Source organism: Homo sapiens, chromosome 5, assembly GCF_000001405.40.
Source record: "Homo sapiens chromosome 5, GRCh38.p14 Primary Assembly".
Classification (NCBI taxonomy): domain Eukaryota; kingdom Metazoa; phylum Chordata; class Mammalia; order Primates; family Hominidae; genus Homo; species Homo sapiens.
Window position 1 is genome coordinate 122055306 of NC_000005.10, and position 24270 is coordinate 122079575.

General features: G+C 37.5%; 2 protein-coding genes across 4 annotated transcripts in view, besides 3 other annotated features; one reads left to right on the plus strand and one right to left on the minus strand.

Moving 5' to 3' along the window:
* Positions 1-23630, plus strand: part of SRFBP1 (serum response factor binding protein 1) — a 116961-nt gene extending 93331 nt beyond the window's left edge. Inside the window, exon 8 of the mRNA XM_017009111.3 lies at positions 20010-23630. Within this exon, the coding sequence (XP_016864600.2) occupies positions 20010-20020 (11 nt within the window). The 3' untranslated portion in view covers positions 20021-23630. The remainder of the gene's footprint in view (positions 1-20009) is intronic.
* Positions 7890-22954, minus strand: LOX (lysyl oxidase). Of its 3 annotated transcripts, NM_002317.7 has the most exons (7): positions 22050-22954; positions 21588-21696; positions 20099-20236; positions 18708-18864; positions 15189-15284; positions 14748-14863; positions 7890-11444 (listed from the first exon to the last, which is right to left on the minus strand). In NM_002317.7, exons 1-7 carry the CDS (start codon positions 22678-22680, stop codon positions 11438-11440), a joined length of 1254 nt encoding a protein of 417 aa, NP_002308.2. In that variant the 5' UTR covers positions 22681-22954; the 3' UTR covers positions 7890-11437. The 3 variants fall into 3 exon arrangements, with proteins under 3 accessions (NP_002308.2, NP_001171573.1, NP_001304002.1); NM_001178102.2 differs by lacking the exon at positions 22050-22954 and having other exon boundaries at positions 21588-21918; NM_001317073.1 differs by lacking the exons at positions 21588-21696; positions 22050-22954 and adding an exon at positions 21787-21869.
* Positions 21305-21822: an enhancer, noted in NCBI's record as "H3K4me1 hESC enhancer chr5:121412305-121412822 (GRCh37/hg19 assembly coordinates)". NCBI's record gives its function as "activates a minimal SCP1, AML or CMV promoter by ChIP-STARR-seq in primed H9 embryonic stem cells {active_cell/tissue: H9 hESC(primed)}" and the evidence as "EXISTENCE:reporter gene assay evidence [ECO:0000049][PMID:30033119]".
* Positions 21823-22340: an enhancer, noted in NCBI's record as "H3K4me1 hESC enhancer chr5:121412823-121413340 (GRCh37/hg19 assembly coordinates)". NCBI's record gives its function as "activates a minimal SCP1, AML or CMV promoter by ChIP-STARR-seq in primed H9 embryonic stem cells {active_cell/tissue: H9 hESC(primed)}" and the evidence as "EXISTENCE:reporter gene assay evidence [ECO:0000049][PMID:30033119]".
* Positions 21965-22134: an enhancer, noted in NCBI's record as "active region_22994". NCBI's record gives its function as "activates an Ori minimal core promoter by ATAC-STARR-seq in GM12878 lymphoblastoid cells {active_cell/tissue: GM12878}" and the evidence as "EXISTENCE:reporter gene assay evidence [ECO:0000049][PMID:35858748]".

Genomic DNA, 24270 nt, shown 5'->3' on the forward strand with positions numbered 1-24270 from the left:
CCCAACGATCTCTTAATATCATCACCTTGGGAGTGAGGATTTCAGCATATAAGCTTGAGGAGAGAAACACATTCAAACCATAGCAACTACACTTTTCTGAAGCTAGGATAATCCCAATACTAAAACCTAACAAAGATTGTGGGGGTGGGAGGAGCTCAATCATTTGTAAATGTAGTTGTAAATAATACAGCAAACCAAATTCTATACAGTTTTAAAAGTTGTCCAGCATTGTCATGTTAGTTACATTTTAGAAAGTAAATTTGATTAAATATATCATTCCAGTAAAACCAATAAAAGATATTTTTTCATCCCAATAAAAAAAGACATATTTAGTAAAATCTGTTTTTATTTCTAAGAAAAGCATTAAAAATCTAGGGAAAGAAGGATGATTTCTCAACATGAAAATGGATGTCTTAGACAAATAGACAAATAGCAAATATTGTATTTAATGGCGACATGTTGGAAATTAAAAACACAATGAGGATGGTTGCTATTACCATTTTCACTTAATGGTGTTGTGAAAGTTGAAACCAGTGAAAGGAAGAAATAAAATTAACATTGAAGTTACCTCTCTTTATATGTAGGGGAACTTCCCACTAATTTTATTTGTTTCCTGTTTGGTCAAGGAGTAAGAGTTTTGTTTTGTTTATGCCTTCATCTTTATTTAAGGTATCCAAATTCCCTAACCACTTTCTTCAGGACTCAAACTGCCCAAGAGTGTTGAATAACAGGTTTCTCATAGGTGAAAAAATTAGAGAACCTTTCACTCCGGTCCCCAAACCTCTGAACTTTCTTGTCCGTTTTCTTTTTGTCCATTCTCCCTCTCTCATTTGACTGCCCGTTCTATCTTCTCTCTCTTTTTCCCAGTTTTAGTTTTAGAGACAGAAAAAACAGCCCTACAAGTATGTCATAAGAACTTGTCTGGCAATTTGGGGCTGATCTTTTTTGAATCTTTGTTCTTGAGTGGTTATGAACTTACTTAGGGTAGAACAATGACCAGCTGAATGTAAATAAGGAAGAAGAGAGGATGGGAAACAGCTAGAAAACAATCAAATAAATACTAAAATGTAGCCCTGATACATTTGCAAGTAGAATTTTATGGTTAGAGCAATTTGACAAGCACTCAGTAAATATCAGCCACTAATTCTTGAGAAACGCATCTGGCTGCCAATAAACATTCCTAACCATTATCAATCTTTTAGTCACTTACATAGAATTAAAAGTTTAGGGAGAAAGCACTATTCAATTTTTCTAGTTTTGAACCTGGAGCTATTTATTGCTTGGTGTGGAACATCATGATTAACAATTCCATGTGTGGGATATGTCTTCCCAGAAGGAAATTAAGGTCCTAATTTTGTTTAAAAAGTAAGAAGACAAGGTGTTAGCCAAGTAACACTTTGTCTTGTTAGACTTGTAGCTGTCCCTTACAAGTCAAATAAGAGAAGATGCATCAATGTGAATCTATAAAAAGGAATCAAGCACCTTCAGAGATAGAAAGGTAAAGTCCCTCTGTGTCCACAGGGCATGTCCTTTACTCCTGGGGAAATAAGAGGTCTAAGGGAAATAGTCAGTTGTCTAGAATAGCCAGAGGAAAGAATACATGAAAATCAATGGGATATGAAACCAGTGAAGAGGACAATTGGGACCAGATAAAGGAAGGCCTTAAATGTCAGTTAGGGTGCTTGAAATTTAGTTACAGGAAATTGAGAAACCAAATTTAAAATTGAAAAATCTGAGGAAGAAGAATGTTATGTAAAGCATGTAATATAACCACCTTGCCAAGTGTCCTTAGCTTTCTTGTCTTTCCAGTAACCTCTTTGAAAATGTTCTAGGTCAAAGTTTTCCCATGATATTTCAAGTCAACAGATCATTTGTATAAGGTTAAAATTACACTTGACCATAATGGGAGAAAAATACACATGCACATGACAAAAACAGCTCCAAAAACAATGTTTTGGCTTTTCTCATGAAAGAGCACAGCACCTTGAATATCTTTCATGAGATTCCAAAACTATCTCGAATTACTATCAGAAGAAAAGGAAAGGTTTATTATCAAGTTTTCAGGTTATTATTTAATGAAGCTCATTAATGAGAGAAACAAATAGTCCAGCTCAAATGAAAAAACATATATGCCATTTGGATTGTTCTCAGTTCTGTGTGTGTGTGTGTGTGTGTGTGTGTGTGTGTGTATGAGTGTGTGTGTACAAATGAGGGTCTCGCTATTTTGCCCAGGCTGGTCTCAAACTCCTGTCCTCAAGTGATCCTCCCTCCTCAGTCTCCCAAAGTGTTGAGATTGCTGGTGTGTGCCACCACTCCTGGACTGCTCTCAGTTCTTTAAAAAAAAAAAAAATACTGATTTTGATAATGAATCTAGCAATGTTCATTAATGGCTGCTAAAATGATTAAGTGAAACTCTGATGGAGAATTTTATAGTAGATGGATCAGACAGACAACATTGACATCAGAGGACTCAAGCAATCCTCCCATCTCAGCCTCCTGAGCAGCTGGGACTACAGGCATGCACCACTACTCCTGACTAATTTTTAAATTTTTGTAGAGACGGAGTCTTTTCAGAGTTGCCCATGCTGGTCTCTAACTCCTCAACTCAAGCAATTCTCCCTCCTCAGCCTCCCCCAAGTGCTAAGATTACAGGTATGAACCACCATGTCTGCTGGCCTTGATTATATTCTTAAGAGAAGTTCCTCAAAGTGTAATTATTGCCCAAGAGGAATTATTTAAGGTTCTTGATATATATTGTCAAATTATTTACATAAAAAATGATGTCCATTTAACCTCAAGCAGTTTATTAAAGTGTTATTCTCTCACTTTCTTGATAGCATTATAGGGTAATATTATTTAAATCATGATTTATTGGCAATGTTCAGTCTTCCTATAGAATGACATAGTACACTTCTCTATTCAACAAATATTTGGGGTTTTCTTCACATGAGCACCATGTCAAGATTATTTCTAGTTATAAACAAAATCTTTTGAAAAGTACAGTTTTTAATTGGTTATTACTGGCTTAAGAAAATTTTTGTATCTTTTACATAATTAGTTTTTTGGATTTATATTCATTCTAAGATATTTGATTGATTTCCTTGGGTTTTCTTTGGAATTGTCATAACTTGGGCAATGGCTTAGCTTCTTGAAGCCTCCTAGTCATCTGTAGAATGAAGAAAATAATAGATCCTACTTCATAGCTGTGAGAAGACAATGAGATAGTGTGTGTGTGTGTGTGTGTGTGTGTGTGTGTGTGTGTGTGTATAAAGCCCTATGTCTAGAACGTAGCAACAACTCATTAAATATTTAATACCTATCGTTATATATCTGGGCTTTCTCACAAAAGCTAACACACTTCCCCTTAACTAGCTTCTAAAAATGTTGTCATTGTTATTTTAAATGGGACTGCAATGTAGAAATTTGGCCTCTCATGTTGTTGGGGCATTTGATTTAATATTTTTTAGATAAGCCCCAAAGCAGTGGTAAATTTGTGATTCTGTGAACTGACTGTGTTTGTGAAGCACTGGTAGCATGGTACCTCAGTGAAATGAGCATTATTTATTTATGCCAACCAACTAAAATTATTTCAGTGAAACCAGGATGAAGATCTGAAATATTCTGATGGGGAAAATCCAATTCTTAGATTTTTCTAGAAAATTCAAATAGACCAACATTGAGGTTAAAGCGTTCCCACTGGCTTCATGTTGTCAGGTCTTTGAAAGAGAAAGAATGCCAGAGGATCCCCTGTAGTTAAATTGTGAAAACCTAAACATGAGGACAGAGAAAAGAAGAGTATGTCGTTTTTTTCCAAGTCTCTTTTACTCAGAAGTATTCCCCCAGAGAAAATGGTAGGAGATGGGGCAACAAGGCTTTGTGAGACTCACTCCTGACAAGCCTTCTCAAACTCTGAAAGAATAACAGGGTAACTCCCTGTGGACTAAAAGGCATCTCTGGTCAGTCTAGACCTTGGAGAAAGTTATTTTCTTGAGGTTGGAGGTCTGTTATTTCCCAGAGAGCAGGTTGCCTAAATTAGTGAGGAAACTGTACCATGTATGTGTTTTTTATCCCATCCCTCTGACCTCATCCCCTTACATCTCTGATCTGCAATGCAAATTTAATGTAGTCACAGATATTCTTGGACTCAGGTTTAGGAACCCCTGGGATGAGCTGTCACTCCTGCACACATCTCCCACCTTACCCCAGCAAAATCTATGTGTAAATTTTTCTATACCCCTAATTAAAAGGAATGGTGAGAGTAGCAAGAGATAATATTGGGAGAGGGATGGATATAGCTGACTACTTGTTACTCTCATTCAAGCTTCCCATGTTACTGTCATTCAACTTCTCTGCAGTTCTTGAAGAACATGGGTATTTTGCTGCACTGTTCTCTGAAGTTTTCCCTTCCCCTCTACCCAGCCTTTGGACTGTACTTATTCTATAGTGTCTGTAAGTGTGTTAAAAGTACACTATAACTAACAGAAGTAAAGAGTGCAACGTACCCTAATGTGCTCCTTCCAGAGGGAGACTCGCACTAATGGTCAAAGACCAAGAACAGGATAGAGGGATGGTGAAGGTGGTCAGTGGGAAAGAGTAGCAATTGTAGAAGCAAAAGCTTGAAAGAATGGTTCTCTCTTGCTCTTATTCTTTTTCTGTTTGCCTTGACCCTCCTTTTTGGAACTCCAGTGTGACATGTTGAATAAGAAGGAACTTGGATCTTCTCTCACTTGTTAAGAATGGGCTTTCCTCCTAAAATGCCCTACTAAGACTTCATGAAACACAGAAGACGAGGTGGGAATGAGCAGACTAGTTAGATCTGCAAACGGGGAGGAAAGTAATATGGAAGTAGAGAAGATGGTGGCATTAGTTCTTTCTGGAGAGAAAGTCAGGCCTTAGATACTATGAATAAGGGGGTTCTTAACAGAAATCAGGTAGGTGAGCAGCCTGGAAGGAAATATTTTGAGTTGGATTGTGTAGATGTTGATTTTATTAATCTTTTTGCTGGACGTAAACATGGTGGCTTGATGGTCCTGGTAATTTTCTCATTGGCAATATCCATAATAACTCACCCTCATCTGGGCAATCATTTTCCTTTCCTCCACTTTCCCATCACACCCACACATAAGCCAAAATGCAGTCATGTGGTTTGGATTGAAGCATCCTCTTACTTGACCTCACCTTTTTTACTTCAGTGATTAATAAGAGCAATTGACTTGATTTGTATCAGCTGTAGTATCTACAACGACTGGGTCAAGGATTGGTAAATGACACAAACTGAGCTTATGAAATACCTTCCCCTGAGCTTTTCAAATTGGAGCACAGGTTAATGCCGCTTTTTTCTGGTCAATAAGCTGTGTACATATGTAACCCGGTCTGCAGGCAACCAGATTTGCATCTTCATGAAACCTCAATGAAACCAAGAAAATAAAGTTGATTCACAAAGAAACAGAGAATAGACAGCAAGAATGTGATCTTGCTGGTGTTTGATTTCCTGGTTCCATCTGCTCCTGCAGCAAACTCCACCCTTGTCCTTTGGTTACATGAACCCAAAATTGCTCTTTTGACCAGGCAAGCTTAAGATATATGCCTGTCGGCAGAAACCAGAATCCTAAAACAAACGTGAAGTGATCACAGCTACCAGGTTGTTTTTCATTCACGAATCTTAGCCCCAGCACCAACCCAACAATAAATCAGTTTAAAAGGGTTTTTTCTAATATCATCATTCTAAAAAATAATGTCAAAAATAATTGAAAATTCTTGACTCCAATATTAGCTGTGTGGCAATGGTTTAGCTCATCAGTTTGCAGATCACTAGCTGGTAGTATTGGCTCCAAATTGTCAGACTCAAGATTCATGCATTAATTCACTAAAGACATATATATGAAGACCCAACATTATTTGATTCATTTTTTTCAAACAAACGATCTCTTATCAGACTCTATCGTTAAATTTGTCTTTAGCCCCTACTTATACAATTGTGTTAGGAGCTCTGGTTCGACTTGGTATGTAAATTGAGAACTGGCAATATTGTTTCTAACAGTGACACAGGCATATTCTTGGTAATTGTTTTAATGGTTCTCTTTTTGGTTATATAGCTCTATTTTTTTCTCTCTCCAAATTTTGTGCCTACTTCCCATAATTAAGAAACAAACAAATTATTTGTAGCAAATTGTAAATATATGAATACATCCTTCCAAGTCATTTATTTCCAGTCCCATTTTTCTCTGCCCACAATGGGAAGTACAAAACTTTAACTGAAAATTACTTAAGTTATGCAATTATGCATAACATAATTTTAAGTATACAAAATGAATGAACCATGAAGAAAATGATTGTTTCACCCTAGTGTTATAAACAACTAAGATTTGTGAGGGAAGAGATTTTAATAAGCGGTACCTAAAAGCATTCAAGTTATCTAACAAATAGGAAAGACATATTTTTTTCTAAAATAGAACATGGTTTAGAGAGTTAAATAATCCTTTCCACTGAAAAGGTCCTATTTCACCATGTTCTGTAGTTTTTTAGAAAGTGAAGCAGGCAGTAAATTAGTGAGTTTTGGATATCCAGTATCCTTATGTCCTATAGCTCAAATGCTGCCACATTTATTTTAAATACATTCCAAATGATCTCATTTCTACAAATTTAAAATTACTTAAGATGGTATATCCCAGAGTTTTCCAAGCAAAAATTGTATACTAGGATAATAAGTGCTATTTTAAAAAAGACTCGTGACAAAACAAATTTAAGAAACACTAGATAACAAAGTGGTTTCTTTACTGCAGGATTTCTCAGACACTTATATATGCTAAAAAGTATTGTGAATCTCCCAAAGTATGGGAAAGAACATTTCCCATACTTACTTAATATTGGATTCTTTCTGAGTATCTTGTGAAACTGGAACTCTTTAGTACATGCTTTAGGAAATCAATATTGTCCTAATTCTATATAAATATTATTTGCTCTCCAAATTAAAAAGGAGTATGGGGAAAGGTCTCTGATTTTAAGCTACAAATTACTACGATGAAAGTGATTTATTCAACCTGTGTGTTAATCCTCTACTAATATCTGTGGTAAGGAGTAGAAGTATTAACAAATGAGTCACATAAAGGCAGACAAGTTTTCAGACAAAAAGGAAAGATCTACACACCCCTATCTTTGGTTACTGAGCTAATTAATGAACAGTGCTTGAAACACTGTATGCTGATGAGACAAAGGAAATCATCTTTGAATTAATAACAAAAGCATATTCAGATGCTTTGCCTTGAGCAGGAGATAGAAGCAGGACATTTGTGGTTTCAGGTATCACTGATATTCTACAACTCAAATCTGCAAATTGCCAGCCAGAAGTCTACATCTGTTTTACCTGCAAGACTCCTTAAGGATGAATTGTTTTTGTGGGTTAATTTTGTGAGTTGTTCCCCCAAAACACTTGCCCAAAGTTTGGGCCTGTTTGCCCTCTCATGTTACCAGATTTCAGGCTAATCTGGTGCATATTTAAATAAGGATTACTATGATAGCAATGTGTCTCTTTATACAAATAATTTGTAGCTAGAATTAGATGTGTGTGTGTGTATGTGTGTGTTTATATCTATAGTCAGATATATTTCTTGTAAACCTTAATTAAAGCAGTGTGATTGTTCTTGCAATGCCTGCTCTGTGTCCTTATAAGTAGCTGGTACTGGTGATAAAAGTTTATGTATGACAGTGTCTACTTAAAACATCAGCTAGATTTTTATCCATCATAGACAAATTTCCAGTGTGACCTAATTAAACAATTTTTTAGTACAAAAGGCAATTAAGAGAAACTAACACCATATCCATGGCTTATAACATTTCAACTAAAATGAAAATCAGATGATTTATTTATATAACAACAAATGACTACTATAGACACTTGAAATCATTTATTCAAGGCATTTTTATATAATCTTGCAATCATAGTATAGATGTATAATAAAAGAATATGAGAATGCAAAGAGGAACATAAAGCCAATGTCTGAGCATTTAAAATAAGAGTTCTTCAAAAAAGTTACACGTCTTACAAATAACATTCCTGAAAAATTTGGGAGAAGCTAAAACTTCACTAAAAACCTAACACCAAATGACATGTTACTTAGTTTATAGCAAGCAGTTTTATATTAATTAAATGTTTATATACCACAAGCTAAGATTTAATGCATTTTACATTCAGATTTAAATAACTCAGCACCATTTTAGCTTAGAGGATAAATGAAATGTTTAGTGTTTAAAAGTGGCCCAGGAATTTTGGTAGCTAGGAATGAGACTTAACTCACTGATTGAATATGTTGATTGTGAATATGAGTTCAAAAAAATATGTATATATAGAAAAAAGAGTACTTTTTAGTTATCAGTTAATACACTGATTCGTATCAAAACACATTATTTTTAAAACAAAATATCTCCTTACCAGGAATTCAGTATTTTCATGCAATCTGCTAAAGATTAACTCTCAGTGCCAGGAAAATTTTAATGAATTGCATTTCTTCTAGAATCCGAATATTGGGAATGTTTATAAGTGTGACTATCCTATGAGATTTCAAAGAGAAAAAAAGTACTACAAATAATGCCTAGTGAGTAATTGGATGATAGAAATTGTAAATAAAGTTATTCTATAAAAATATACAGATTTTCTGGAAATAGGCAAGTTGTATTCTCATATATGTTATGCTAGCCTCAGAGGTCAAGACATCTTTAACCCAGACTGTGGTCTGAATCATCATGAGATCGCTAATATGGCATATTGTAAACTGACTCATAAACTCTGAAATTATGTTCCTATTTAGTCCATTTTCTGTCTTTTTTAGTGTAAAAGCCAATCTCCTGTCAGTACTCAACATTCTTTTTATCATTGCCAGTTCCTATTTTTTAAAATGTATTTAGAGTTTGGTAAGACTGGTCTGTGTTATTTTATTAATTGATAACCTTCATCAACTAATTATTATCTTTGAGTTTCGGCAGTTATTCAGAGAAGAGATTCAAAGTTCAAAATAGTTCAAAGAAGTTCAGTAATACAGAGTGTTAAATCAGTACTTGTGAGTTATTTGGGTGTGTTTAGAGGTGCCAGGAGGGGGATGAATGTTCATATAAGGAATAAAGTAGTATTTTTAGCTTCCTAATTGAAAAAAAAAAATCGTCAAAATTAACCAAATAGTAGGTGTTATATTTAAAAGGCAGACATTTCAGGGATTGAACACATTTTTAATTATTAGAAATACATACATGCATATAATTAACCTTTAATTTATTTTTAAAAATAAATTATGGTCATGAAAAACAATAGTGCTTAAAATTGAAATTTCATAGACATGTAATTTTATTCCCTAAAAATGAAATAAGATGAACCTTATGGGTAATAATGGGATTTTTAATACTTATTGAGGTTATAGACAGTCTTTTTTATGTCTCAATGCATACCATGTGAGTACTTGGCATATATTAGGCCTTCAAATGATGATGGATGGATAGACAGATAAAAGGCCCAATGAATGATTGTAAATGTGTCTTCTCCTATGTATCCATGATGATATTGCCTAGTTTTTAATACAAGCTTAAGAATCAATAAAATGATAGATCTGAAATCTGTAGATGCCAGTCTGGCTCAGTATTAATACTGACAGTAGTTTTTTTGTTTTTTAAGAAAGCAAGTATATTAAAATATCTCTGTTAGAAAAGATTACAATTTGAAAGGATCATTCTACAATCTTAGAACTAAAAAGCAATTTAAGGCAAAGAGGTACATCAAAGAAGCTATTCCATAGCTCAGTTACAGCTCAACAAAAGCTCTGTCTGTATTGTCTACTGGTAAGCTTGTGCCCTGGTGGCTAAGGATCATATGTACCGCTATATCCGCCAGTTGATGACTGTCCATCTCTAGCCCCTCTAACCATGCTATGCACCCAGTGAGTGCAGAATGATTACTAGTAATTGATGTTGACTTTACAATTCTATGACATGTAATACAGGATGCCGAGGCACTTTTAAAATTCCACCTAACATGTTCTGGCACTGGAAAATCTTACTTGAGATTTTAATACTGGTTAATATAGGAAAAATTATGCTTAAGCACCACTAACTTAAAAGTGTAATTTCATTTTCTTGAATTTAGGTAAAAGCAAAATTCTCAAAATTCTATTATGGCACATGGTTTCACAGTTTCAAATGAAATCACAGCTGTCTCATTACGCAGCACAGTCCTTGGTTTTGCAGAAAGTATATTTTTCCTTTGTTCACCAACCCCTCAAGTATGTAATACTATGTGCTTTGCTAATTTAGACTATATCTCAGACACACACACATGTGTGACTGATTCCTGAATAACCCAGGATGATGTTCCTGTGTTCTAGATAATATAAAATTTTTAACATTCCTCTAATAGCTGAACATCTTTTTAAAATCTAGAAAACTTGAAAAATCCTAAAATGTTTTTCAATTTTTTTAAGCTATTTGAGAGACAGTTGTGGTTTGGGGGGGACTTGTTTGTGTGATTTTTATGTCAGCAAGAAAATTGTATCTTTGGCAAATACTTTAATATGTTTAAATGCATTTTACCTCTGGATGTATCACATCAGTCATCAAAATGACTTTCCAGTTTCACGGCTGCCTTATGTATACCAGTCCCAAGAATGGTGATATTAAGAATCCCACTTACAACATCTCTGCCCATGGGAAAGATAAAATGATAGAGGGCAGCCTCAAGAAATATCAGACAGGATTGGGCAGCTCCCTTACTTAATTTGTTCCAAAACAAAAGTTGACTCAAGTCAAAATGAAATTGTGCACTTGAAAGAAAGGAAGTTATCTACTAATTTTTTAAATGTAAACATACTTTTTATATAGGGATGTAACTATCTGAGTACATGTATTGCCATTTCTCTGCTATATAGTAATATTTCTTGACACCAATGGTAATGTGTTTGTTTCTTTCTCAGCACCAGATGTGTCCATATGTATTTAAACAGTAGGAGCATTGTTTCTAAATTCATCTATGCTATGACATATATAAACCCATTATTATTATGTTTCACTAAAGTTCCAGCACTTTAGAAAAGTTTCAGTTCAAAGTCATTTTGGCTCATTCATTTAGATAATACTGACCATTTTGCACTACAATTTCAAAAGGAACATGAGAAATTTGGATTTCTTTGAAAGAGTCAAATATGTAATTACAGAATTGAAACACTGTGTTAATTCACAAAGTGATGTAAATAATAAACATTAAAAATTTCCCAAGTAATGATGACTTAAGCGTTCAAAATCCAGTTATGTGCTTTGTTATTGAAAACAGTCCAAACAAAAATTCTTTTGTTGTTTTCTGTTCTCTTTTTCAAAATACATAAATCCTACTGAAGTTAGTCTATTTTTTCCCACTTCAGAACACCAGGCACTGATTTATCCATTGGGAGTTTTGCTTTGCCTTCTAATACCTAGATTAAGAAGACAAAATAAGACAAATTATTAACCTGATAATATAATGAATGAGTACAACAGACAAATTTAAAGTCAACCTTTTAAAAACTTTATGCAACAGTTTCCCTCCACCTAAGCAGCAATCATGTTGTGAAATTATGCAGTAGTACATCATTTTAATAATGGTTTGAAGAAAGTGACTATGTCAACAGCAGAGATGCCTGATGCCTACACTCTTCACATTTAGAGGCAAAGAAACCACTTCTGAAACACTCAAGAGTACAGCAGGACTTCTGGGACCAGCATCCCTGACCAGGGGAATTCATTCCATGGAACAAGGGTGGCATGTCCACCAAGAAGTAGAGTCAAGGCCTCTGCTCCATCTTGAATTAGTCCTTCTCCAGCATGGCTTTGGATGTAGAATAATACATTAATAGGCAGAAACTGGACCAAAGCTAATCAATCAAATATTACTGTCTTTAAATGTGACCATAGATCTTCATGTAAGGAAGTGAAAATTCACTTATTCAAATCATAAACTACCAATTTCCAAACAGTAAATTCTGTGAGGAGAAAAAAAAAAACTTACATAGTATCTTATAACTGAAAGAAGCCTCAGAGTCACCTGGTCCGTACATTTTGTTTCAGTGAGGAAAATGAAGGAGAGAGGGTACATTAACAGCACATACCTATTCAACTATTTACTGGGTGGCTTTTACACATCAACAGAATGCTCTTAAATATCTGGCAGGAAAAGCAATCAGTGAACTGATACATGATATGTCTTCAGAGTCACACTCACTGCTGCTTACACAGCCACCAGACTGACCTGATGGCCTTAGGCAAGTTACACTTCCTGCTCAAAAAGCTTCAGCCTCCCACTGCCTCCAGAATAAATTTTAGCCTGCTCTTCAGGGCTGTCTTCCATCTGGCTCAACTTACTTTTCCATCCTTTTTGTCCAACTCGTAACTCCACAAAATTCATGCTTTAGCCAAACTAGAAGACTTGTTTTTCCAAACATGCCCTGCAGTTTCCTCCTGCCATGCAAGTTGCCTGTGACGTTGACTTGCCCTGGGCTTCCTTTCCTTAATGCTCCCCGGTGCATTCCCCAGACTTCAAGGCTCAATTCAAATGTATCCTAAAGTCACTCCTGAAACTCAGCCCAAAGAGACCTCTCCTCTGTCTGAACTCTGATTCCTAGGAAGGAAGGCCTGATGTGAAAGTCAAAATGTAAGAAGCAAGTATTACTATCCTGAAGGTGTGGGGTTTTTTTCTCAAATATTCTATACTTTCCCCAATATTTCCACTCAGAATAAGTATGACATTTTATTATGATCACTAATTATAATTTCACTTTTCATATTTTCATCTGGTTTATATTAGTTATAAACATTCCAGCTTCAACCACTCTTGAAGTTTGTTACAGTCAGTAATAACTAGTAAAAAAAAAAAAAAAAAAAAAAATTCAACTCTATATGAGTGACCACATCAGGAATCCCTCTTGTACAGTCATATTGCTGGAGCAATACAACAATTTTTATTTCTTCTAAATATCTAGCAATACCCAATTCAATGGATTCTACTGATTAAAAGCAAGAGACATTCTATGCAACAGACCTCTCCAGACCTATTTCTAGTGGGAAGTCAGTAAGACATAGTTGGGAGTTACCAAACTTATAGCAAAGGTCCTTCTGATCTCACCACATTTTATTTTATCCCTCATGAAACTTCTCATATTGTATCTCTATTACAGTTATATGTGTAATTCTCTCACTTCCCCTACTCAAAATGCCTTTACTCAAATTATTTGAGAAAGAAATTCATTAAGCAGTGAGTGAGAGGCTGCAAGGTGGCAGACCTGTACCTGACAATGGGTATACAACAGTGGACAAGAGACTAAATCACAGCCATCACTGAGTAGAGCAGGAGACAGACATTAAACAAAGAAATTCATAAGTAATTAACTGAAAATAGTGTAATAAGGCTACAGCAGTATAGAGATTAGTAGTCCTATTTATGTTTGCATTATTCAGTAATATCTAGCTCAGGGCATCAACAAACAGTACAAAAATGAGAGTGCAAATGAATAAATAAATGGAGAATGGATGAATAAATTAAGGAATTATAAAAATTAAGAAAAAACTAATCTGTTTATTTAAGTGCAAATTATTTTAGCTTAAATTATAATGGTGTTCTGGCGGTGGGGGTCGGGGGTTGGTTCTACTATAACCAACTCCACACAATATGGGCCATAAAACCTGCCAGGTTTTCTGTGCTGTGGGCATGTTCAGAAGAATGTATGTGACTCTGTTTTTTCAGTGCTATCCTTTTGCTATCACAGGCTTCATCTATCTCTAATGTTGTGACAACACTTGTAAAGCACAGTCTCTGCTTCTTTATGTAGAAAGTCCTGGGTTTTTGTATCAGGCAGAAATTTCTATTAATTATGAGATTCTAGTATAGCTCTGCTATACCTGTCTGTATGATCCAGTGGCACTGGTGGTTCTCCAGTGACAAAGCAAAGCTGATGAGTGTTGAGTATCATTCCAATGGAAATAGTATTCTCATTGTTGGGAAGGCATAACTCAAGTGGCATATGTAATTATAATCTAGCACCCAGCAACACTTGGGGAGGTAGTGCTTAAGGAGATGGGGCAGGACAGACAGGCATGCAGTCAAACCTACCCAACCTTTTTTCATTATTTTCATCAGAGCACCTCCCTGTGAATAGATATCTTCCAGTATTTCATTCTAAGAAGAGTCTCAGGAGTAGGAATATTATGAAGAAACCTCCACACACCTCAATCTTTTGCAGAGTATTTTCCTAGTATCAATGGTTCTAGAACTCAAATATATGACATCTTGATTTGTACAGACCAGAGGGGGCTGAACTCTTCAGTTGCTTACTTTATGGCAGTGGTTTTCAAAATGTACTTTGAAGAACCCTAGCAATTCTTTCAGGGACTGCGAGGAAGGGGCCAAGAAGCAACTACTGGGGCTTCTACAAGCTCACCCACTCTACATATTGAGCAATTTGATATATTGGGCCTTCACAAATGCCTTCTGGGTAAACACTGTGGTCTGTTTATGTCTTCTCCTGAAAACTAAGCTTCTCCTGAAAACTAAAAACCTTAGTACATTCTCCTTTGCCTTCCATTATTTAAAAAAATAAAATCAGACTGCATACCATTTTCTGCCTTTGGTCTGCTTACAAGAAAGCTGCTGTAGTAGCAGAAACAGATACATTCTATGTATAATGTTTGGCATGAACAAAAATTATTTGTGACAACAATTACTTAGCTAAGCAAATAACACTTACGGTGAAATTGTGCAGCCTGAGGCATACGCATGATGTCCTGTGTAGCGAATGTCACAGCGCACAACATTGTTGGTATAGTCAGATTCAGGAACCAGGTAGCTGGGGTTTACACTGACCTGGGCAACACAAAGAGTTCCTCAGTATTTCTTTTTCCATAGGGCTACAATAAGGAAATTGTTAATGAGGACTTAGCTAAATCAAGCAGGGAAGGGATTTTAACTTAAGTAAGTGGTTAAACTCTGGAGACGTTATGGAAAGAGACTGCATATTTTCCCCTGAAGTTCTTTAAAATAAGACAGATTAGATTAGATTAGATTGTTTATAAATAGTTTGAGGATGTATAATTGCTTCCAATACCATGATTATTTAACATTTGAATCCAGAGAAGAGGGCCTATTGATCTGCAATATCAATATATGATATATTTTCAAAGGTCTTTACCTTTAGGATATAGTTTCCAGGTTTTACATCTGTAATATCAATCCACTGGCAGTCTATGTCTGCACCATAGGTATCATAACAGCCAGGACTCAATCCCTAAGATAAACAAAATAAAAAATTTAAAATTATGGTATGTGGTCAGACTATGATAAATAATATGCTATTATTTGCAAATTAAATTTTAAGTTAGTACTTACAAGAGTCTGACATAAAACTATACTTATATTTCATCTCCCTTGAGAAGTATTTATTACTCAGCCTTATAGCACCTCCAGCTAAAAAAGATACAGGACTAATATAAGTAGTAGTACACCTCACTTCTTAAAAGTGTCATATATCACCAGAGATAAATGCAATCTGAAGGAACAAAATAGGCCTCTACCAAAGTTCTAGAATTTTAACAGTTCAGGAATAAAGGCCACATAATAATTATCTTAGCTCAAATGTCCTCTTCTCAGTGAAATCCTCCCCAGTTTCCCCTTTTGGAAATTACCTTCTTGTGCTTTGAACGTCCATGATACTTTTTATTGTGGATAGCTTTTACAGTGTTTATCCCTTTTTGCTCTGCATTATAACATGCTATGTAAGAATATAGCTAACCAGAGGCTGCAAGTTCCCTAAGGGTAGAGTTTACGTTGTATCTTTGAATAACTAACATTTATTAAATAGTATGTGGCAGGAACAATCGTAAACATTTATATGTGTGTGTGTGTGTGTGTGTGTGTGTATAAAAATTCAATTTTCACAACTACATGAGGGGCTATTATCTCCATTTTATAGATGAGAAAACTAAGGCACACTAAGATCAAATAACTTACCCAAGGGTATCCAGCCTAGTAAGTGGCTAAGCTGGTTTTGAGTTTAGGTAATCAAGGTCCAGAGTCCCTGTTCTTAACTACCCCACTATACTCTCTCTCATACAGTCACTGAAATATGACATATTTTGTTGAAGGGGTAAATGCATGACTAAATTGATGAATGCCACATCACTCCACTTGCTAAAATATTCACATCAATAAGTAAATGAATGCCTTCTACAGGCTGGGAGGAGAAAAATATAACAAATACAATCCTTGCTTTTAAGAATGTTATAGTCTAGAGAAGTTTCCTCAGATTGGAGTCTGTAGGTATATTCTTGATTCCATTAGTTCTTCACAAAAAGTTTTAACTTGTATTTTTATTCTAATAGTAATTTAAATTCAAAGTACATGCTAGATTCATTTTAACTCAATACTGCCATTCAATTCTAGCAACCAATATTGCTTTGCTGTTTAAGATCACTTTGGTCACCCAAGAGACAGTAAAATCACCTTAGCATGCTCTACCAATGCTGGTTTAGCTGTAGCTTGATTTGGGAAGAGCAGGGGAGAATTGTGCTGTCATAGAGCACACAATAGCACAGACAGGCCCAACTCAGAAGGGTCAGTGTCACAGCAGTGAGACTCATATTCTGTTGTTATTATCTAGATTCCTACCTTGATCCATACATCACTTAACAGTATGTTGAGTAGTAAATATAAAATGAAGAATTTTTGGTCTGATTCCAGCATACAATTCTGATTCTGGCATATAATACATACTCAATAAGTGCTAGTTATTACTTCTACTACTACCACAATGTTCATGACATTGTAAAGGATTCACTGGATTAGATATTCATTTAAGATGGGTTTACATAATGCTTCAGTGCTTATCTTGCCTTCAAATAGACAAAAGAGCCTTAAAAATGCTGAAATTGGCACTCGAGTTCATAAGCTGGCAGAACTTAAGTATAAGCTTTGATTATTTGCACAAGCAAGCAAAAACGAGTTACTAAGGCAAATAGGCATTTCATGTAGGCAAAGTCAAAATATAAAAACAGATTCAATGTTGAATGTTAGCTGAGGCTCTCTAAATCAGCAATTTGAGTTTTAGCAATACATACTATTTGTTACATTAAATTAATAAGGTGAATTCAACTGTTTTAGTTTCGTATATATTTAATATGTAAATTTTTGTCTCAGAACACAAGAGTTATTAATATGTAAAAGTATAAATCTAAAGAAGTTATACCTAGTTTTATGCTTGAATACATTTAAGCAGCATTACAATAAACTAATCTGAGTCATCATTAGGTGATTGAGAGACTATTTTTTCCTTTAAATGAAGTCCATGTGAAAGAGACATTGATCTAATGAAAAAAACAAATATATAAATCGCTCAATGCAAGATTTGGTGAATAATGGTTAAAAAGAACATATATGGAAGATGATTAACAAGAAAGCTACCATATAAAATGAAATGGGGTCACCCCAAAGAAGGGGGGGAACCAGAAGTGCTATAATGTCTACAATCCCAGCTTCAAATATTTCAGAGTGAGCTGTCCAGAGTGCCTCTTTTTGTAAATGGGGCAAATAAACTCTAGGTCCCTTGCACAGGACTTGCAGATCACTGAAAAGGGAATCTGTATATGCACACATGAATAATGTGTGGGTAAGTTACATCTCCTCTTTCTTAAGTAAGTACTGTCCTGGGGCATGTAGAAGTTAACCTTTCCCCCTCCAATTGCTATGATGTTCTAAGCTCAGAGAAAAAAGCAATGGTAACATTTAGGTCACCAAACAGCTTCCTGCCACAGCCCTGGAATTTGCTTCCCAAGATGCCAACTGCTGATCCCTTCATACCCTCAGTTATGTACATTCACTACCCCTTGCCAAGATCTGGGCGGGAGTCAAATTATAATGTCCTTTTACAAATTAGGGTTTCATATGGAAATACTGACATAGATTTTAACTGACACGCATTTTCCAATGATAAAACATGCAAACTGCTTAGTTCAGCACTACTTTAAAAAAATCCATCCAAACAACATCTGACATCAATTATACTGTAGATTTAAATATATATGTGTGGAGAAAGAAATGGTGTCCTTCTGCTCTTATTTGCATTATTAAAAGAGGCAACTTTTTAAAGTGCTTTTAAAGAAACTTATTTTTCCTCCATTTGCTAACCGCAACCACTATTCTATTTTCAGCATAAAACAGAAGGAAGGAATGGTTTCACAGGTGAAAAAACAGAGATATCTTTTTTTACAGTTATTTACTAAGCCGGTTAAGGAATACAGAATGGGTGCATATGTTGTCAACCATTCAGACTTTTTCAGAGAGTAAATTTTTGTTCTTCATTGTGGACTGTAACAAGGACCCACACTGACCTGTGATCATGAATAGGGGCCACATGCATAACTGGAAATACTTCAAAAGTAATTTGGATCATCAAGCCATCATTTGCCTTTTCCCAATTATTTTACATCTTAACAACATGGACCTCAAATTGAATGCTTTATAAAAGAGAGGTGAGAGGAAAGAAAATACTAGACTCATGGGGTATATCATCTACAGTTTTCTTTGAGAACAGTCTCTGTATCCTTTTGATAAAAATGTGTGTGCTCTTCATGAAATGCTATTTAATGCTAACTAACGGTAGATGACCCGTTTCTCTCTGAGGCTTGAGGTTCTGGATTTCAGGGTGCCAACATACCTGTGTGTGTGCAGTACATGCAAATCGCCTGTGGTAGCCATAGTCACAGGATGTGTCTTCAAGACAGAAACTTGCTTTGTGGCCTTCAGCCACTCTCCTCTGGGTGTTGGCATCAAGCAGGTCATAGTGGCTAAACTCATCCATACTGTGGTAATGTCTGATGTCCCACAAAACAAAAAGATGGTGGTCAGTTACATACAGAGAAAGCAATGAAGATATTAAATGACTTCCCCCATGGCTTCACAAATTTGTTTTCACATTAAAATTGAGACCAAATTTATCTTCTAAAAGAGAGATTCATGCTAGGGTTTTTTTTTCCCCAGGACATAAGTCTATCAAAATTGTAAGGTTTAACTTTGCTACTAGGACAAAAGACTTAGTTCAGTATTTTGCTTTCTTATTGTACCCCATTTTGTCTTTGAATATTAAATAGAAATGGACAATAAATTATCTGTGCTTAAGTGAAACTTGCCCTGTGTTCTCTAGTGTATTCCCCTTGGCTGCCACTGCTGATGTTTCATTCCGAAAAGCAGCACATGACTTTTTCAAGGTTTCTATGAGATTTTAAAAAATTGAGTTCTCACATATTTAAAATCATTAGTGAAAAGCAAGGGAGAACTCATGGCATGTTTTATCCACCATTATTATTTAAATAGTACACACTTTTATTTAGAAATAAAATATTCCTATTTTATCAGGAAATTAAGGGACTTATATCTACTTTTGTTATTTCATTAAATGGAAGGTGCTGAGCTGTTCATCTTCCCACATAAGGAAAAAACAATGAGGACTGGCTTGGATTTCAGGAAGTAAGTTTAAGGCCACACATGAGGATTTCCTGAAAATAAACACCCAGGCAAGTTACTAAGGCAAATGATAGAATTACCTTATGCAAAAATCCTTAAATTTAGGATAGAAAAGGCAACCACCTTGGGCTTGATACAGGTCTTTTAAAAGATGGAAGAAGGTCCTTCTGAGCTGATGGGATGTATCATCTACATCTTTCTTTGAGAATGGTTTCTGAATGCTTGTGATAAAAAACGTGTGGTCTTTATGAAATGCTATTTAATGCTAACTAACTTTAGATGATCTTGGCTGTAATGGACTTTTAAAGAAATCCTATCTGTAATGCATTGGAGTAAATTTTATTGAAGTCAATTGCTGTATCCTATCAACAGCTTTAATAAGCTGGGCTTCAGATTTTCCATTTCAAAAGATAACAGGATCTTGTAGTAGATGGGTTATGTGAAATTACATAGAGAAAAATTCTAAATATAAGTAATAGCAATTTTCTCCCTTCAGGTAAGAAATAAGACTTGCATTTGTGATATCAAAAATCACCTGAGAAATGAAAAGCAACCCAAAAGTACCCAGGAGGCCCATTTACTTACTGATGACAACTGTGCCATTCCCAGGAATATCTTGGTCGGCTGGGTAAGAAATCTGATGTCCCTTGGTTTTTCACTCTTTGGGGAAATCTGAGCAGCACCCTGTGATCATAATCTCTGACATCTGCCCTGTATGCTGTACTGTGATTTTGAAAAAAGAAAAATTATTATATTCATGGAATATTAACTAAAGACAAAACTACAAATAAAACATCCATTATATAGTAGTGACAATCCTCCTTTCCCAACTAGACTATCAGTTCCAAGAGTCTAAGGCATTTTGTTTCTTTTTGTTCATTGCTGAATCCAAAGCTCCTAGAACCGTCTTGGAGTAGTCAGAGCTCAATGAATATTTGGTGAATAAGTGAATGAATAACACCTATGGAAATCCACAGATCTTAACAGTAAAAACATAATAAGCATTAAAAATCTAAATGTCAGAAGTAAACTTTAGAATCAATTCAAGTTTGATCATATGAATGAGTGAAACTGAAGTGGAAATAATCCCCCAATAAAAAAAATAATTCATAGATGTTTATTACAAACTTCAAACTTAACAAAACTTTTAAAAAAGTTAATGAGCTGCAAACTGAGGAAATAACTCTAAAAGAGCATACCCAGATTTAAATTAATAATTTTGTAACTTCACTATCCCAAAACAATGGCAGTACTGTAAAAACATCATAGGGAGTTCAATGGTGTGAGTGATGCAAGACTCAGGAATGAAAATGAGCTTGGATTTCTTCACTTCCTTTAGCCTGACAATTATAAAGGGTCAAAGTGGAAGAAATGTACAAATAAACATCACTGTGTTCCTACTAATATATTTAGTGTGTCTATATGTTCAGGTGGTATTGATGACCTTATTTTACACTTTAAATTTTTATTAAAACATCTTTTGCTCCCTCTGCTGTTTCCCAGCAGTAAACCCAGAGAACCCCAATCCCAGAGTTACTATTTTATTTTAGAATAGTGGAAAAACAAAGCTCTTGCTCACGGTCTTATTCTGGCTGAAGTAATACCAAAACAACCAAGTTCATCGTGGTCTCAAACAAAAGAGGAAAACTTAGTCTTTACCAATGAGGCTACGATGGCAAATTTGCCCCGAATCTTTTAAGGGGGTATTAACACACCCTTCCATTACAATAAATTTTTTGAATTACTGTATAGTTGTTTTATGAAAAGTGATTGGAACAATTGACTCCCAAGTTTAAGTATCTTGGAAAAAGAGCATGAGACTTTCAGTCTCCAGGATAAGGGTTTCCTCCACCTCTGTGATTCCTGCTGCACTTTGAGACAGAACCCACAGAAATCTTCAAAAATATTAACTCTCCGTCCAGGTCAGCATGCCCAGGAGGTCACGTCCCACTTCCCAGCTCTTGTCCCACTTCCTAACACTTGTCTGCGCGAAGCAGTAGCAGTCAGAACCAGGCACCAGAGCGCCCCCTGAAGGTAGACCGGGGAGCGGGGCCTCAGACATATCAGCCCGTACCTGGCCAGACAGTTTTCCTCCGCCGCGCATCTCAGGTTGTACATGGACATCTTCTGCACGTACGTGGACGCCTGGATGTAGTAGGGGTCGGCCACCAGGTCTGGGAGACCTAAACGTCAGCAGGCGACGGGCGCAGCAGTGAAACAACCCGGCGCCCCCCGCTCCAACTCCCTACCCCTCTAGGTCCCTTACTCCTCACCCTTCGCCCACCGGGACTGCAGAGTGGAGCGGAGGACAGCAAGAGAACTGGGGACGCCCGGGACTGCAAAGCAATGTGAAAAGGAAGCAGGAGGGGCCAGACGCGCGGTTTGCACTGGATTCCAGGGCTGCCACTGCAGGCGCGTGGGGGAGGGATCGGATCTGCGAGGACCGGGGCCCGCCGCGCCCAGGCAGCCACGTCGAGAAGCCACATAGCTGGGGACCAGGTGCACGGGTGCTTCCAGCGGACTTGGGGGTACTTACCGTACTGGAAGTAGCCAGTGCCGTATCCGGGCCGGTACCTGCCCCCAGGTCTGGGCCTTTCATAAGTATCGTAGTAGTTGTAATAAGGGTTGTCGTCAGAGTACTTGTAGGGGTTGTAAGGGTCGTCGCCCACCATGCCGTCCACGCGGCTGGGCGGCCGCAGGTTACTGAGCGCAGGAACTTCTCCCGGCGCTGTCTGGTTCTCCGCGCGCGAGGCGCCAGCTTCGCGGGCTCTAGATGTCGAGTAGCCAGCTTGGAACCAGTGACGGGCGGTGGGCCTGGGGCGGCCAGCGGTGACTCCAGATGAGCCGGCCGTCCGCGTTCGCGCCGCGGCGGTGCGGTTGTCGCGGATCAGCAGGATCGGAGTGCGGGGCTGCTGGGCGGAGGCGTTGGCTGCACCAGGGACGGCGGCGCCCGGGTCCCGGCGGCGCTGAGGCTGGTACTGTGAGCCCAGGCTCAGCAAGCTGAACACCTGCCCGTTGTTCTCCCATTGGATCTGCTGGCGCCAGGCGCCCGGAGCCGCCGGCGGCTCGCGCGGGGGCTGCTGTTGGCCGGCGGCGGGAGGGGCGCAGTGCACTAGCGCGCAGAGCTGCAAAGGCCCGAGCAGGAGCACGGTCCAGGCGAAGCGCATCACTCCTTTTGCCAGATTGACCCCGCTCGAGGAGGACGTGGCTCACAGAAAATAAAAACGGGGCTCAAATCACGTGAGGGAAGGAGAAATCTTCAACCAAGGAGGCGAGCGGAGCACGGGTATCTCAGTCTCCACCAAGCAATGCCAAGGGTGGGATTCAGACCCTTCCCCAGTCAAGGCGGCTGCTCGGACGTGGCACCCTTCCCTTTCCCCTTTCTCAGTCCTGGAAGGCAACGGGGAGCGGCGCGGCAGTCCCGGAGAGCGGGCAGTGTCTGGAGTGAAGGAAGGAGGAGAGATTTTAAACTTTCTGGCACGTTTGCAAAGTTACACAAGCCGTTCTGGCCCGGCCGCCCCTCAGCTATTTGTTCACGTAATGCGATTGGAAACGTGCAAGGCGGACAGCTCCTCGCCTCTGCCCCTCCCTCTCTCCCGTCCCTGCCCTCCTCCCCCCAGACACGTTGCACAGGGAGCGTTAAGGGGAAAGAACAAAACGGAACACACATCCTGAGACACACTGGCTTAATCTGGGGCGAACATGCAGGAATTTCAAAAAACTCAGACAGGCGAAGGCAGCCAGGCCATGGGGCGACGCCAAAATATGCACGAAGAAAAATGCTATTAGGTCACCAGCCCTTGAGAGGCGGGAAGTCGGGAGGTTGGGAGGGTGCTGGGGGTGAGAGGGGGGCGGGGGAGGATTGTGACTAAAGTTTATCCATAAAAGAGTTAACCAGACACATTTCCCAACGCACACTCTCTCGCTTTTATGGGAAGCGCCCTCAGCAAATAAACCCCAGGATATCAAATTTTGTTTTTCTGTGTGTAGGTAATATGAGAAATGGGTTACAAATTTATTTCCTACAGTGAATATTTTAATAACCAAAAGTGAAATTGTACAGGGAACAAAGCCAGCTAACGCTGCAGCTATGAATAAACCTGTCTCTTTTTCAAAATGCCGGCCTGATTTGTACTTTGAGTAGAAGTGGAGAACCATCTTTCATCTCCACAGTGTCTACAAGGAAGATTCATTAAAGACTAGAACAAGTCTGCATGAGAAAGCACTCAGAAGGCATCTTCACATATGCATTTTATAAGACATTTTTCTCCTTCATCTTATAAAGAAGTTTGACTTTGGATTTAAAAAAAAATTAAATCACCTCTGTTAAATACTGAAAGTCAGTAAAACATCGCATGCTGTTTAATTTATCTTCCAATCTAAACAAAGAAGTTGCTGAAGAAACAGCCTTAGAGTTTAGATTTTGGTAAAGAGAAGGAAGTAGGAGTGGTCAGAAAAGAATATAGGTGGGGGATAAATTATGCTGACTGGAAAGAGATACATAATGGACGAGTTATTCATATACCACTCAGGGTTTGGGCAGTGCTAGAAACTTTGCAACAAAAAATGGTTACTAAATGGTCTGATTTAACACTACTACTCAAAACCAGATTTTGGTAACCATTTTATTGGTCTCATCATTGGGCTATTGTCCAGACATACTTCAATATTCACATACCTCTGTTAGTCTCTGTCTCTCCATATTTAATCACCACATTTTGGTGGTGTGGTGGACCTCTGCTGATTTTGACTGCCTC